At 38.4% G+C, this 16,956-nt stretch overlaps 1 protein-coding gene across 9 annotated transcripts in view; it reads left to right on the forward strand.

Annotated features, from left to right (window-relative positions):
- Nucleotides 1-16,956, forward strand: part of NUP35 (nucleoporin 35) — a 44,167-nt gene that overhangs the window by 21,604 nt on the left and 5,607 nt on the right. For 8 of the 9 annotated variants that reach the window (XM_011510577.3, XM_011510576.4, XM_047443270.1 and 5 more), the window contains one exon: nt 12,391-12,532. The exons of the other annotated variant lie outside the window; for it this stretch is intronic. In XM_011510577.3, coding sequence (XP_011508879.1) covers nt 12,391-12,532 — 142 coding nt within the window. The remainder of the gene's footprint in view (nt 1-12,390; nt 12,533-16,956) is intronic. 9 annotated transcript variants of the gene reach the window in all.

Here is a 16,956-nt window from a genome sequence, read left to right on the forward strand (position 1 = left end):
ATAAGAAAATTAAAATGTATGCTTTTCAGTAGACTAAGAGAGCCGCTAAAGTGTAAAACTTTACTTAACATTATGGTTTTGCATTTCTTTCTTTCTTTTTTTTTTTTTTGAGAAAAGATCTCGCTGTCACCCAGGCTGGAGTGCAGTGGTGCAGTCATAGCTCCCTGCAGCCTTAAACTCCCAGGCTCAAGCAGTCCTCCCACCTCGACCTCCCATAGTGCTGGAATTATAGGCATGTGCCACCATGCCATACCCAGCCCTTTGTAAATGTTTGTTGACTGAATATATTGATGGATATAAGCTGTAGAGAGTTGAATGGTGGCCTCCATACAATATGTCCACATCCTAATCACTGGAACCTGTGACTGTTAACTTACATATGATTGAGTTAAGGATTTTCAGAGGGGAGACTCTGAAGGAGAGTTTAAAGAGTTAAGGAGGGAAGGGGACAGAATCCTGGATTGCCTGGATGGTGCCTAAATCCAGTCACAAGGGTCCTTGTAGGTAAGAGGCAGAAAGAAATTTGAAACTGAAGAGGAAGAGAAACATATAGAGGAGAGAGAAGGTGATGTTCAGAAGGGGGCAGAGATTAGAGTGTTGTTTCCAAAGCATGCCATAAGTCACCAAAAGGTGGAGGAGGCAAGCGGCAAGCAGTGGATCCTTCCTTAGAGTCTGCAGCAGGCATGCCACCTTGCCAACAACATAATTTTGGACTTTGGGCCTCCATAATTTGTGAGAGAATAAATTTCTGTTTTAAGCCATCCAGTTTGTGGTAATTTGTTACAGCAGCCACAGGTAACTAATATATGTAAATATTGTTTTGAGACAATGACATTCCAACACCAGTATCCACTACCAAATAAGAGGATTGGTGTATTTGCATCCAACTTGGCAAGGCATGATTTTTCTTTAATAATACTGAATAAAAACTATCCTTATTCTAGACTATGTAGCTTCTTATTGCTGCTGAACCATATTATCACAAATTAATATCTTAAAACAACACAAATTTATTGTGTTACAGTTATGGAGGTCAGAAGTCTGAAGTAGGCCTCAGTGGACTAAAATCAAGATGTTAGCAGGACTGCATTCCTTTCTGGAGGCCCTAGAGGAGAATTTTTTTTTTCTTTTCTAAGTTGTAGAGGCTGTCCACATTCTTTGGTTTATGTCCCCCTACCATCTTCAGAACCCCCAGTGTCCAGTGAGTGTTTCTACATTATTATTTTCCTTTCCTCTTCCCCTTTTAAGGACCTTATTGGTTATATTGGGCCTATTTGGATAATCTAGGATAATCTTATTTTTAATTAGTCACCAAAATTTTATTTACTCTCATGTCAGATTAACTATGCTACCATTGAGTGGTCTCTAGTTATGGTGGTGGCAATGTTTATGTTTTAGTCAAAATAATAAATTCAGATGGTTTTAGAAAATTAAATAGAACTTACTGTAATCCCAGCAATTTGGGAGGCCAAGGCGGGTAGATCACCTGAGGTCAGGAGTTCAAGATCATCCTGGCCAACATGGTGAAACCCCATCTCTACAAAAACTACAAGAAATTAGCCAAGCATGGTGGTGGACACCTGTAATCCCAGCTACTCAGGAGGCTGAGGCAGGAGAATCAGTTGAACTGGGGAGGTGGAAGTGGCAGTGAGCCGAGATCGCACCACTGCACTCCAGCCTGGGCAACGAGAGCAAAACTCCATTCAAAAAAAAAAAAAAAAAGGAAAATTAAATAGAACTTTAATACAACAAAATGCAATGATCTTTAACCTTATTATGAACTAGCCAGTCCAGATCTTAGAGCTATTCTTTTTGGAATTTACTATGTCCAAATTAGATGCTATATTAGTTTACTCTTGCCATTGTAACAAATTACCACAAATGTATTGGCTTAAAACACTTTACATTTATTCTCATTTATCCCAAAGTCAGTTTCACTGGGCTAAAGTCAAGGGGTTGATAGGATTACCTCTGGAGATTCTATGGACAATCAGCTTCCTTGTTTTTTTTTTTTTCCTCAGCATCTAGCTGGATTCTCCTTTATGCCTTTTTCCTCCATCTTCAAAGCATATCATTCCATTCCCTGCTTCCATAATCACATAGCCTTCCCTGAAGTAAAATCTCCTACTTCCCTCTTGTAAGGATACTTGTGGTTACATATAGGGCCCACCTGGATAATCTCCCCATCTGAGGATCTGTAATCACATCTGCAAGATCCCTTTTGCCACATAGATAGCATTTGCAGATTTCAGGGATTAGAATGTTGTTATCTTGGAGGGCTGTCATTTAGCCAGCCACGTCATCATATTGCTAATTCTTAATTTTCAGTTTTTAATTTTGCTATATTTCTCTTAAAGTAATTGAAGATATTGTATTTTCCCCTCATATTATCTGAATATAGTTACATCTAACTTTATTCCTTTGTCAGTGTTTGTACTGTGACTATGTAAATACTGCTCAGTGCTGAACCAATTAATATGATTATTCTTTCTGTAAAACTCTTGATTCTCCAATAGTTAATAATTGTTTTTTTTCTATTAAGTCTAATTTTCTATGTGCCGTTTGTTCCCTTTATTTTAAGCAAACATTCTGCTGCTATGGTACATACCTATTTTAGTATACTCACTTTTCAAGCACATTTTTCTTTGTTTTAAATTGAGAATTTCTCTCTCTTAGCCTCTGTCTTGATTTCTTGTTTTGGCATGGTGTATGACAATCATCCTAGGACTTGCATGTTTGTAGTGTTGAGTTCTTTTTCCTAGAAAGCATGCCTCCCTCTTTATGTCCTGATTTTGGTGAAGAACATATTTAAGTAGCTTTCTAAAAAAGCTTGCTTAAGAAGTAAAAATTTAAAACCTCATGTCAGAAATGCTTTTTTTAGTCTTCACACTTGATTGATAGTGTAGGTGGGTAGGTTGGAATTTTGGAGGCATCATTCCATTGTCTTCTGCCTTCCAGTGTTCTGTGGAAGCCATTTGTGATGATGATTCCTGAGTATTTTTACGTGACCTGTTTTCCAGAATTTATGATATTTCTATGGTTGGTATTCTCAATTTTGCAAATGTGTCTTGGTGTGGAACTTTTTCATTTGTTTTGCTGGGGAATTGATGGATCCTTTGCATCAAGATGCTTATATTTATTCTTCAGTTCTGGGAAACTTCCCTGTATTATTTGTTTGATAATTGCTTTCTCTCTGCTTTCTCTTTTCCGTTTTTTGGAATTGCTTGTTTGTGTGTTGCATTACTGCAGAGATTTCTAATTATTGTTTCCCTTTTATGTTATCATTTATATCTGTATGCTACTTTCTGAGAGATTTTCTCAAATTTTGTGTGTTTTCTTTTTTTTTTTGGTGGGGGGTGGTGGGCACTTTTGTTTTTGTTTTGAGATGGAGTTTTGCTTTGTTGCCCAGGCTGGAGTGTAGTGGCACAATCTCGGCTCACTGCAACCTGCCTCCCCAGGTTCAAGTGATTCTTCTGCCTCAGCCTCCCAAGTAGCTGGGACTACAGATGTGCACCACATGCTGGGCTACTTTTTGTATTTTTAGTAGAGACAGGGTTTCACCATGTTGGCCAGGCTGGTCTTGAACTCCTGACCTCAAGTGATCCACCTGCATCAGCCTCCCAAAGTGCTGGGACTACAGGTGTGAGCCACCATGCCCCACCATCTCAGTTTTTTATTTTCTCTGTCATTTTAATTCCAGGAACCTTTTTGTTGTTGTCCTTTGAATGTACTTAGAAATATAGCATTCTCTTCTCTCAGCTGGGCACGGTGGCTCACGCCTGTAATCCCAGCACTTTGGGAGGCCGAGGTGGGTGGGTCACGAGATCAGGAGATCGAGACCGTCCTAGCTAACAAGGTGAAACACCGTCTCTACTAAAAATACAAAAAATTAGCTGGGCGTGGTTGCAGGCGCCTGTAGTCCCAGCTACTCGGGAGGCTGAGGCAGGAGAATGGCCTGAACCCGGGAGGCGGAGCTTGCAGTGAGCTGAGATCGAGCCACTGCACTCCAGCCTGGGTGACAGAGCGAGACTCCATCTCAAAAAAAAAAAAAAAGAAAAGAAATACAGCATTCTGTTCTTTCATAGGTAAAATGTCCTAGCAGTGAGGTTAATAGCAGTCTTTTTTATTCTTGCTCTTATTGTCTCGTCTCTTCTAGTTCTTGGTATTTTTTTTTTTACCCCTCTATCATTGCTGGTGAGCAAATATTTATCAAATGAGGCACTAAAAGCTATTTGGAATAAGTGTGTGCATAGGATTCGGTATTGGCAGCAGGGTAGAATTGATGGAGAGGAGCTGTTTTATATCTTACTGGGCTTCACTTTTAAGTGTTCCCAAAGAAGAATCTTTTAATACTCAGCCTTATGCCTAAGCTGGTGTTCTGAATATGGGCAGGGGCAAATCTCCTTTTCAATGTGCAGATTTTCACTTAATCTCCTTACAGTTGTCTTCTGCTGTCAGACTCATTGAGTTTTGAGCTGTTTAGGTTCCTTTTCTCCAGAGACAAAATCTTTGGTCTTTTGAGGGTGGATTGGGAAAGTGAGAGTTATCTAGCTGCCTGGGATAAGGAGAGGCCTGGTCTGTAAGCCCTTATTATATACTTTACACTAGTTTTCCTTAAGTTCAGTCAGGAGTTTCTCACAGTATCATTGGTCCCCAAAACCTGACACTTTTTTAGAGTGTCTGTCAGTAGGGGTTTGCAAGGGATTATAAGTGAATACAGGGTTCAGTTCACCATGCTTGATTGGACATTGTACCATTCAATATGCTTTTTCGGTATAATGTGTGTGCCATACTGCAAAGTCTGATTAAATAGTCCTTATAAGATTATCCTTACTTCAGATACTAGCTGTTAAGTTTGGGATGATCACTTTAGACCAGCTGTCTATAAATTAAGAGGTTACCAAGGCTGCTTGTAATGTTTGGTAGTTTACTAGAAAGACTCACAACCTCACTGAAAGTGCTGTGCTCATGGTTACAGTTTTATTACAGCAAAAAGAAACAAATTAGAGCCAGCCAAAGGAAGACACATAGGGTGACGTTGGAAAGGGTTCCAAATGTGAAGCTTCCTTTCCATTGTCTTCAGGGAGATGTGTTATCCTCCCAGCGTCAATGTATGGCAATATACATGGAGTACTACCAACTAGGGAAGCTCACTGGAGCATCTATGTCCACAGTTTTTATTGGAGTTTCATTACATAGGCATGATTGAATTACCAATCAGGTGGTTGAGTTCAGTCTCCAGTCTTCCTCCTCTTGTTGAGCAGAGACCAAATCCCTTATTACATATTGTGCTACTTTGTTTCATGATAAGAAGTTAACACCGCCAGGAACCTCTTTTTTCCAAGTTTCATTTGGCTCGTATCTATTTAAAATTTACTAGTCTTTTAATCTCTTTTGTTTTCATTTAGGTTAGTGGTCTATTTTGAAATAATTGAATCTTTCTTTTAATTGAAGACATTTTCATAAAGGGTAATAAGGTCTTTTGCCCTCTGCTTTAATCCAGTCTTAGGAAGAATGTTTGAATAGTGATTTACTCAGGGAGACACATTGCAGTCCGATTTGATGTGGTTTGATAGGCACACTTTATTTTCATCTTACAAAGCATGGCATGTGGGCATCAGAAGTCTGATTGAAAGGAAGTAAAATTAGTGGAGCAATTAAACATTAACTAGGTGGGGGGCAATTATGCTAAAGTTATGTAAATAGTTTTAGATTATGTATAAGTAATTATATTTTTCAGAGTAGTTGACAGGGCAAAAATTAGATTGCTTATTCGTTTGAGACTTATTTTTGATTTGTTTTATTTTTAAAGGTTGTAACGGTTGTCACAATTCGAACCTTCATTTAATTTCTTGCTTGAAGATTATTACATGATGTAGCATAACTAAATTTTATCTTCTTAATGGTAATACTTGTAGACTGTAGAAAATTTGGATTGGCTTCAGATTAAATGCCTTTTACTGTCTTCAGTTTGTTAATGGAATGTCTTTGTAGTAACTAAAATTAGTTAAGAGTATCTTTTGTATAAATATATGCTTCCACTTACTAAAGCAATAGTTGGTAACTTAGTTGATAAGTAGATTCTTAAAAATATAACAGCACTTGTCAAAGTGGGATGTTTCATTCTAAATCAGACTTATTTTAGAAATGTATTGAACAGGTTGAATATCCCTTAGCAGAACTGCTTAGGACCAGAAGAGTTTCAGATTTTGGAATATTTGCATTATACTTATCAGTTGAGCATTGAAAATCTGAAATTTCCTTTGAGTGTTATGCTGGTGCTCCAAAAGTTACACGTTTTGGAACATTTTGGATTTTGTATTTACAGATTTGGGATACTCAGCCTATACCTATTAAATGCTTCTGTGGTGATGAGGGAAGTAAATTGTTAAATGTATTATAGGATGATGTACTTTAGTATTCCTCCACATGTACCCCATACATTTGTACAAATAAAAAGCTATCCAGTATAGTTGAAGATTACCTGAAAGAGAATTTTTAAAAGTTTAATAAATATTACTTAGTTATTACATCTATAATGAACCTTAACACAAGACTTAGGTGTTACTCCAACAATAAAATGGGACAATAGACAAGAACTTTAAAAAGTTAACTGTTGTTAGTAATACATAACTTCAATTACAGCACAAATATTAATTTATAAAGTCAAGTCTAACAGACTTCTAGGAATGATGTCCATGTCTTGCCTCCAAATGATATCAAAACAAAACTACAGCCTGGACAGGATCAAAAGAGTTATCAAGTAAAAACTACAATGCAATAATATCATTCTAACTGAAAAGAAAAAATATAATCACTTAAGAATTTCAAAAATCTGCTGTGCATGGTAGCTCACGCTTGGAATTGCAGCACTTTGGGAGGCCAAGGCAGGTGGATCACCTGAGGTCAGGAGTTCGAGACCAGCCTGGCCAACCTGGTGAAACCTCGTCTCTATTAAAAATACAAAAATTAACTGGGTGTGGTGGCACACACCTGTAATCCCAACTACTCCAGAAGCTGAGACAGGAGAAACGCTTGAACCCAGGAGGCGGAGGTTGCAGTGGGCTGAGATCGTGCCACTGCACTCCAGCCTGGGCAATAGAGTGAGACTCTGTCTCAAAAAAAAAAGTATTTCAAAAATCTTACTTCTTTAGGGTTGCTAAACAATTTGAGTTCCTAGACTCCTTTGAATTCAAATTTAGAAACTAGAACTAATCTAATTTAACCTATTAATGTACACTTTCCTTTAGGAAAAATATTTTTCAGATCACCTCACATCTATTAAGCTTATTGAAGAATATATTTTATCCAGAACACTATTCTAGACCTTACTAGACAACAAGATGTTCAAATAGTACTGCTATTTTGAGTTCTACAAATCTCCAAACCGCTTTCTGTTGAGGCTGAACTAATTTACACTCCCACCAACAGCATATAAGGGTTCCCTCTGCAGCCTTATCAACATTCTTACATTCTTATTTTTTGACCTTTTTTTTTTTAAGTTGGAGTCTCACTGTCACCCAGGCTGGAGTGAAGTGGCACGATGTTGGCTCACTGCAACCTCTACTCCCCGGGTTTGAGCGATTCTCTTGTCTCAGCTTCCCGAGTAGCTGGGACTACAGGCACCCGCCACCATGCCCGGCTAGTTTTTGTATTTTTAGTAGAGATGGGGTTTCGCCATGTTGTCCAGGCTTGTCTCGAACTCGTGACCTCAGGTGATCCAAACGCCTTGGCCTCCCAAAGTGCTAGGATTCAGATGTGAGCCACTGCGCTTGGCCTATTTTTTGACTTTTTAATAGTAGCCATTTTGATTGGTGTGAAATGGAATCACATTGTGGTTTTGAATTGCAGTCTCTCTGTTGATTAGTGACATTGAACATTTTTTCATGTTTGTTGGTCACCTGCATGTCTTCTTTTGAGAAGTGCCTGTTCATGTCCTTTGCCCACTTTTTAATGTTTTTTTTCTTGTTAAGTTCTTTACAGATGCCTTTGTTGGATGCATACTTTGCACATGTTTTCTCCTATTCTGTAGGTTGTCGATTTATTCTTTTGATAGTTTCTTTTGTGTGCAGGAAGTCATTAGTTTAATTAGGTCCAACTTGTCAATCTTTGTTTTTGTTGTATTTGCTTTTGCGATATGAGTTGTAAAGTCTTTGCCTAGGCCAATGTCCAGAAGAGGTTTTTCAAGGTTTTCTTTTAGAATTTTTGTAGTTTGAGGTCTTACATTTAAGTCTTCAATTCATCTTGGTTAATTTTTTTTATATGGTGAGAGGCAGGCTGCATATGGTTAGCTAGTTTTCCTTGCACCATCTATTGAGTAAGGCATCCTTTATCCATTTTTTATTTTTGCCAACTTTGTCAAAGATCCATTGTTTGTAGGTGTGTGACTTTGTTTCTGGGTTCTCCATTCTGTTTCATTGGTCTGTGTACCTATTTTTGTACCAGTACCATACTGTTTTGGTTACTGTAGTCCCATAGTTTGAAGTCAGGTAATATGATGCTGCTGGCTTTGTTCTTTTTGCTTAGGATTGCTTTGGCTATTTGGGCTCTTCTTGCTTCCCTGTGAATTTTAGAATAGTTTTTTATAATTCTGTGAAAAATGATGTTGGTTATTTGATAGGAATTGTGTTGAATTCCTTTGGGCAATATGGTCATTTTAATGATGCTGATTCTTCTAATCTATGAGCGTGGAATGTTTTTCCATTTGTGTCATCTGCGATTTCTTTCATCAGTGCTTTGTAGTTCTCCTTGTAGAGATTTTTCACCTCCTGGGTTAGATGTATTCCTAGGTATTTTAATTTTTTTTTTTTTGATATGTGGCTATTGTAAATGGGATTACATTTTTGATTTGGTTCTCAGCTTGAATGTTATTGGTGTATAGAAATGCTACTGATTTTTGTGAATACTTTTTTAAGCACTCGCTTATGAGTGAGCATATGTGATGTTTGTCTTTCTGTGCCTGGGTTGTTTCACTGAAGATACTGACTTCCAGTTCCATCCATGTTGCTGCAAAATTGATTCCTTTCCTTTAAATGGCTGAATAATATTCCGTTGTATATATACACCACATTTTCTTTATTCATTCACCCATTGTTGAACCCTTAGTTGATTCCATATCTTTGCTATTGTGAATAGTGCTGTGATAAACTTATGAGTCCAGCTATCTTTTTGTTATATTATTTCTTTTCGTTTGGTTAGATACCCAGTAAGAGAAATTGTTGGATTGAATGGTAGTTCTATTTTTAGTTCTTTGAGAAATCTCCATATGGCTTTCTATAGAGGTTGTACTAATTTACGTTCTCACCAACAGTGTATGAGTTCTCTTTTCTCTGCATCCTCGCCAGCATCTGTTTGTTTTTTTGTTTAACAATAGCCATTCTGACTAGGGTAAGGTGATGATGTAGTTTTGAATTGCATTTCTCTGATGATTTGTGATGTTGAGCATTTTTTCATATACCTCTTAGCCATTTGTATGTCTTTTGAAAAATGTCTATTCATGTTCTTTGCCCACTTCTTTAACAGGTTATTTTTATCAAATATATCTATAGATATATTTCGAGATGGAGTCTTAAACTCTGTCATTTAGGTTGGAGTGCAGTGGCATGATCTTGGCTCACTGTAACCTCCACCTCCCAGGCTCCAGTGATCCTTCCATCTCAGCCTCTCAAATAGCTGGGACCACAGGCACACACCACTACGCCCAGCTAATTTTTTGTATTTTTAGTAGAGATAAGGTTTTGCCATGTTGCCCAGGCTGGTCCTGAACTCCTAACTTGGCCTCCCAAAGCGCTGGGATTACAGTCACGAGCCACAGTGCAAAGCCAAGCTTTTTATCACAGTAGCTTTTCCCCCCACCTTCTATAGATAATCTTTTTTGTTTCTTAAGAACATACTTGGAGAAATCCATGTGACTATAAACACTTTGGAATGAGTTAGGATGGTTTTCAACTCATTTGGGAATTAAGGATAAATGGCAAGTCAGGAGATACATACAATAGTTAGAATATGTTAAGTAGCCTCTAGAAAATCAATAAAAATGGAGCATGACTCATGCGCATTGACCTGTAGAACAGTGGTTCTCAAATGTCTTAGTTTTGTAGTTTTTACCTTGTTTATACTCTTAAAAATTAAAGAGCTTTTGTTTATATAGATTATAGCTATCAATATTTACTGCATTCAAAATTAAAACAAAATTTAAAATTTAAGTATTAACTCATTTAAAAATAAAGCTATTTCATATAAACATAATCTTTTTTGAAGTGAACAGTAACTATTTTCTAAAGAAAAAAAGATTTGCAGGAAGAGTGACATTGTTTTTGTTTTAAAAATCTTTTTAGTGTCTGGCTTAATAAAATACCTGTGAATTCTCATGAATCTGCTTCTCTTTTCAACCTGAGTCTGTTGAATCACATGAAGTTGCCTCTGGAAAACTCCACTGTACACTAATAAGAGACTGAGAAAAAGGCAAATGAAACTTCATGTTTTTGTGAAAATAATTTTGAGTTGGCTGATCTCATGAGAGAGTCCTGGGGGAGCCAAGAATCTCCAGACCACACTTGTAGTACTGCCACAGGAAATAAACATGTTAACTAGATTACTGCCTCAGAGCTCATGCTTTGGATTCCGATTGCCTGGATTGGAATTCCAACTAACCTTCTGGATGTTATTTAATATTATCCTGTTTCCTAATTTGTTAAATGGACTAATTGGACCTTTTGTAGGATTGTTAGAATTAAATAAAATTACACTCGTAAAGTGTAATAATCACTTAATAAAATGCTACCTTTTTTTTAATTTTTTTATTTTTTTGAGACAGAGTCTCTCTGTCACCCAGGGTGTAATGCAGTGGTGCTATCTCAGCTCACTGCAACCTCCGCCTCCCGGGTTCAAGCGATTCTCCTGCCTCAGCCTTGAGAGGAGCTGGGATTACAGGCATGCACCACCACACCTGGCTAATTTTTGTGTTTTTAGTAGAGATGGGGTTTCACCATGTTGGCCAAGCCAGTCACAAACTCCTGACGTCATGATCCGCTCGCCTTGGCCTCCCAAAGTGTTGGGATGACAGGTGTGAGCCACTGGCCTGGCCCTTAAAATGCTACCTTTTACTATCAAAGTTTTAGTCCTGTTATGTCACGCTTGCTCAGATTTTTCTGTTGGTTTTCTACCTCGCTTAGAGCTTTAGCTTTTACAGTGGCTTTATAAGGTTTTTCTTCATGATCCGGCATATTGCTGCCTCTCTGCTCGCATCTCCTTGTTCTCATCTCACATCCCCCTCACTGTGCAAACAGTGGCCTTCTTGCGTTCATCTAAGACCAATCATGTCTTTCCTCATGGCCTTTGTTTTATTATTTTCTCCACAAAATGTTCACTTCTTCAAATATTGTTTTGCTTCCCTTGTCCTTCAGGTTTTTGCTTTAATGCACCTCAGTGAAATCCTTTTTCATTTAACCCACCCACACAAATTGGCCCTGTCTCCCTTCTCTGCTTTATTTTTTTTTCTCTGTAGGATTTTTAGTTTTGTAGCACATTAAGTATTTACTTATTTGTCTCTCTTTCGCTAGAATGTAGGCTCCAATAGGGATGGATTTTTTGTTTTTATTTGTCTAATGTGTTTACTGCTATACCTTCAATACCTAGGTTGATGCTTGGTGCATATTTAAGTGCTGATAAAATATGTTTTGAATGAGTAAATCATTATTGCTACTGTGAAGATGAAAGGGAAATAGTCTTTGCTTCTCTCAAATGTATAGCCTTAATTGGACATTGCTTCTGATATAAAATGAACTTTATAAAGTGTTTAGCATGGCATGTTGGACACACAGAAGTACTCAATTGGTGGCTGTTACTGAAGAATAAGAAATAAAAGGATAAGACATTTTAGAAAGAAATGACCTGAATAAAAGAAAATTGCATTCACATTTTAAGGGGTAAGGTAGATATTGTTTAGTGCATACTGGAAAAGTAAGGTTGCAACTGTATAGCTGAGGCCAAGGCATTCGGATTTTGTTCTGTGGGTAATACATTTTTACATGTTCTTAAGGCAGAGGTGCTGTGATGAAAGTGGTAGGTTTGGAAGATGAAACCAACAGAAGTCTTTGAGGTTGCCTGGGATATCCTTCTGGTGTCAGCTTAACCAGACATGCTTAATAAAACATTTAGATAATTTATCATACATAATAAAACATTTGCAGAATTATAAACTATGCCCAATTATTACTTCCTCTAATTGTATGGTAGCATGAAATTGCTATTTGACCACAGTTGTATGTTTTGAACTGTTTATGTAATTGCCAACTTTATTAGACTTTATCATTTAAAACTAAGATTTTTGATTTAGAATCAATCGAGGTGTTTACACTGGCAACTAACTTGCTAAATATACTAATATAGGGCAAAGTATGTTTAGTCCAGCAAGTATCGGTCAGCCACGAAAGACGACATTATCTCCTGCCCAGTTGGATCCTTTTTATACTCAAGGAGATTCTTTGACTTCAGAAGATCACCTCGATGACTCTTGGGTGACTGTATTTGGGTAAGGTTTGCAGACCATTTGCCTTTTAAAAACCCCACCCTAACATTTTATAATGAATATAATCAAACATACAGTAAAATGGAAAGAAGTGCATAGCAAACACCCATATTACTACCACCTAGGTTCTATGGTTAACAGTTTGCTACATTTGCTTTGTCATTTATCCATCTATCAATTCATTCTTTTTGTTGGTACATTTCATAATAAGTTGTAGACATCAATACATATTACCCTGACACTTGAGCATGCATGTCATTAACTAGAGTTTGATATTTGTTTGTAGTTTTTTAAATCATTTGTCTGTTTATTTCTTCCCAAATTATTTTCTCTCAAGCATATTTACTAGATGGAACACAGTTGTCCCTTTAGACTTAGGGAACTCCTTCCCCTTTTTCTAGTGACTGGTTCTCTACATCTAGTGGAATTCACCAGTTTTGAATTAACAGAATGAACATTTACAAACACACACACACACACACACACACACACACACACACACACACACAATGTCACAGGGTTGATACTTTCTGGTCCACAAAGTATTGAATATTAATAGAAACAGTATGACAGTCCTTGTTACATTTTTGAATAGATTTTTAGGTCCAAAAAAAACTTTAAAATGCCTTTTTTTAAAAAAAATGCTTTTTTATTTCCATAGGTTTTTGGGGAACAGGTGGTATTTGGTTACATGAGTAAGTTCTTTACATGATTCGTGAGACTTTGGGGCACCCATCTCCTGAGCAGTAGGCACTGAACCCAATTTGTAGTCTTTATCCGTCACCCCTTTCCCACCCTTTCCCCCGAGTCCCCAAAGTCCATTGCATCATTCTTATGCTTTTGCATCATCATAGCTTAGCTCCCACTTATGAGTGAGAACATATGATGTTTGGTTTTCCATTCCTAAGTTACTTCACTTAGAATAAGTGAGTTACTTTACTTAGAATAATTTGCAGTCCCATTCAGGTTGCTGCAAATGCCATTAATTAATTCCTTTTTACTGCTGAGTATTCCATTTTGTATGTATATATATCTATCACAGTAAAACTCCTTAGAGATCATATTGTATAATGTTTTATTTTACAGGTGAGGAAACTGAGGTGTAGGCAGATTAAGTGATTTATTCAGCCGTTCACATCTAGTTATTATTAGCAAAGCTCCAGCAAAAACTTGGGTCTTTTGATATTCAAGCTGATATTTACACTCTACAAAAATATAAAGTTTGTTTCTGAAAGTATGATTTGCCATACTGTATTAGTCCCTATTCATACTGATAAAGACATATCCGAGACTGGAAAGAAAAAGAGGTTTAATTGGACTTAGGGTTCCATGGCTGGACAGGCCTCAGAATCATGGTGGGAGGTGAAAGGCACTTCTTACATGACGGTGTCAAGAGAAAATGAGGAAGAAGCAAAAGCGGAAGCCCCTGATAAACCCATCAGATCTCGTGAGACTTATTCATTATCATGAGAATAGCACAGGAAAGACTGGCCCCCATGAATCAATTACCTCTCCCTGGGTTCCTCCCACAACACATGGGAATTCCGGGAGATATAATTTGAGTTGAGATGTGGGTGGAGACACAGCCAAACCATTTCATTTCATCCTTGGCCCCTCTAAATCTCATGTCCTCACGTTTCAAAACCAATCATGGTTTCCCAACACACCCCTGAAAGTCTTATTTCAGCATTAACCCAAAAGTCCACAGTCCCAAGTCTCATCTGAGTTAAGGCAAGTCCCTTCCACCTATGAGCCTGTAAAATCAAAAGCAAGATAGTTATTTCCTGGATACAGTGGGGTTATAGGAATTGGGTAAATACAGCCATTCCAAATGGGAGAAATTGGCCAAAACAGAGGGGTTATAGGCCCCATGCAAGTTCAAAATCCAGAGGGGCAGTCAAATTTTAAAGCTCCAAAATGATCTCCTTTGACTTCCTGGTCTCACATCCAGGTCACGCTGATGCAAGAGGTGGGTTCCCATGGTCTTGGGCAGCTCCACCCCTGTGGCTTTGCAGGGTACAGCCTCCCTCCTGGCTGTTTTCCCGTGCTGGCATTGCGTGTATGGGTTTTCCAGGCACAGAGTGCAAGCTGTCAGTGGATCTACCATTCTGGGGACTGGAGGATGGTGGCCCTCTTCTCACAGCCCCACTAGGCAGTGCCCTAGTAGGGACCCTGTGTGGGAGCTTTGACCCCACAGTTCCCTTCCGCACTGCCCTAGCGGAGGTTCTCCATGAGGGCCCCACCCCTGCAGCACAATTTTGCCTGGGCATCCAGGTATTTCCATACATCTTCTGAAATCTAGGTGAAGGTTCCCAAACCTCAATTCTTGACTTCTGTGCACCCACAGGCTCAATACCATGTGGAAGCTGCCAAGGCTTGGGGCTTCCACTCTCTGAAGCCACAGCCCAGGCTCTACATTGTCCCCTTTCAGCCACGGCTGCAGGGGCTGGGATACAGGGCACCAAGTCCCTAGGCTGCACACAGCACAGGGACCCTGGGCCTGGACCACAAAACCGCTTTTTCCTCCTGGGCCTCCAGGCCTATGATGGGATTGGCTGTCTTGAAGGGCTCTGACATGCCCTAGAGACATTTTCCCCATGCTCTTGGGCATTAACATTAGGCTCCTTTCTAGCTATGCAAATTTCTGCAGCTAGCTTGAATTTCTCCTCAGAAAATGAGTTTTCCTTTTCTACTGCGTTGTCAGGCTGCAAATTTTCTGAACTTTTATGCTGTGTTTCCCCTTTAAAATGGAAGGCTTTTAATAGCACTCAAGTCACCTTTTGAATGCTTTGCTGCTTAGAAATTTCTTCCACCAGATACCTTAAATCATCTCTTTCAAGTTCAAAGTTCCACAAATCTCTAGGGTGGGGCAAAATGCCACCAGTCTCTTTGCTAAAACATAACAAGAGTCACCTTTGCTCCAGTCGCCAACAAGTTCCTCATCTCCATCTGAGACCACCTCAGCTTGGAACTTATTGTTCATATCACTATCAGCATTTTTGTCAAAGCCATTCAACAAGTCTCTGGGAGGTTCCAAACTTCCCACATTTTCTTCTGAGCTTTCCAAACTGTTCCAACCTCTGCCTATTAGCCAGTTCCAATGTCACTTCCACATTTTTGGGTATCTTTTCAGCAATGCCCCACTCTACTGATACCAATTACTGTATTAGTCCATTTTCATGCTGCTGATAAAGACATACCTGAGACAGGGAAGAAAAAGAGGTTTAATTGGACTTACAGTTCCACATGGCTGGGGAGGCCTCAGAATCATGGCGGGAGGCAAAAGGTACTTACATAGTGACATCAAGAGAAAATGAGGAAGCAAAAGCGGAAGCCCCTGATAAACGCGTCAGATCTTGTGAGACTTACTCACTATCATGAGAATAGCATAGGAAAGACCAGCCACCATGATTCAATTACCTCTCTCAGGTCCCTCTCACAACACATGGGAATTCTGGGAGATACCATTCAAGTTGAGATTTGGTTGGAGACACAGCTGAACTGTATCACATGCTGATACTGGAATGTATCTATTATATATTTTTTGGGATTAAAAAACATAAAAATAACACATGAGCTCCTTGAAGGAAGAAAGGTGCATAGTAAATGTTTAGTGGATTTTATGTATTCAATTTATTTAAAATTAAAAATTCAAAAGGTATGTAAGAATGTACAATGAAGTTTTCCCTTTTGCTTTTGTCCCAAGCTAGTTTTCCTCCTCTTTAAGGCAGTGATTGCCATCTGTTTTTTGTGTATGTTTCCAGAGAGATTTTATGTGTTATTGATTTCTATTTGGGTAAAAAGCGGGTCATTGCATTCCGTTGTTCTCTAGAAAGTCCATACTCAGTCCTATATCCATAGCAATTGGGCTGGTGTGTTTTTTTTCTTCTTCTTCTTTTACATTTACATTTTTATAGTCTCTCATAAAATGGCTTTTTTTTTTTTTTGAGACAATCTCTCTGTTATCTAGGCTGGAGTGCAGTGGCATGATCATAGCTCACTGCAGCCTCCAATTCCTGGCCTCAAGCAATCCTTCTACCTCAGCCTCATGAGTAGTTGGGATAACAGGCATGAGCCAGCTTGGCTGCATGTTTTTGAAAATAGGTACCCACTCTTAAATCTGTTTTTCAGGCTCAGTAGTAGTGGTTTAACTTTTAAGATTTCCAGTAATTAGATAAATTACTTGAAGCACTCCTAGTATTTTTTCGTATTTCAGACATTAACTCTCCCAGCTGTTTATTTTTTTACTTTCGTGTTTTAATAACCCTCTATGACTTTAATTTCAAGAACTGAAGCATTCTCCTTTAAGGGATAAAGTATTTTATTTTGATCATTTATGGGGAAGTACCTCTAAAGGATGCATTATATATGTTCTTTCTTTGGTAGTTTAACTTTTTCCTACTGACTTAGGGTTATGAAATATTCAT

Source organism: Homo sapiens, chromosome 2 (genome assembly GCF_000001405.40).
Source record: "Homo sapiens chromosome 2, GRCh38.p14 Primary Assembly".
Lineage (NCBI taxonomy): Eukaryota > Metazoa > Chordata > Mammalia > Primates > Hominidae > Homo > Homo sapiens.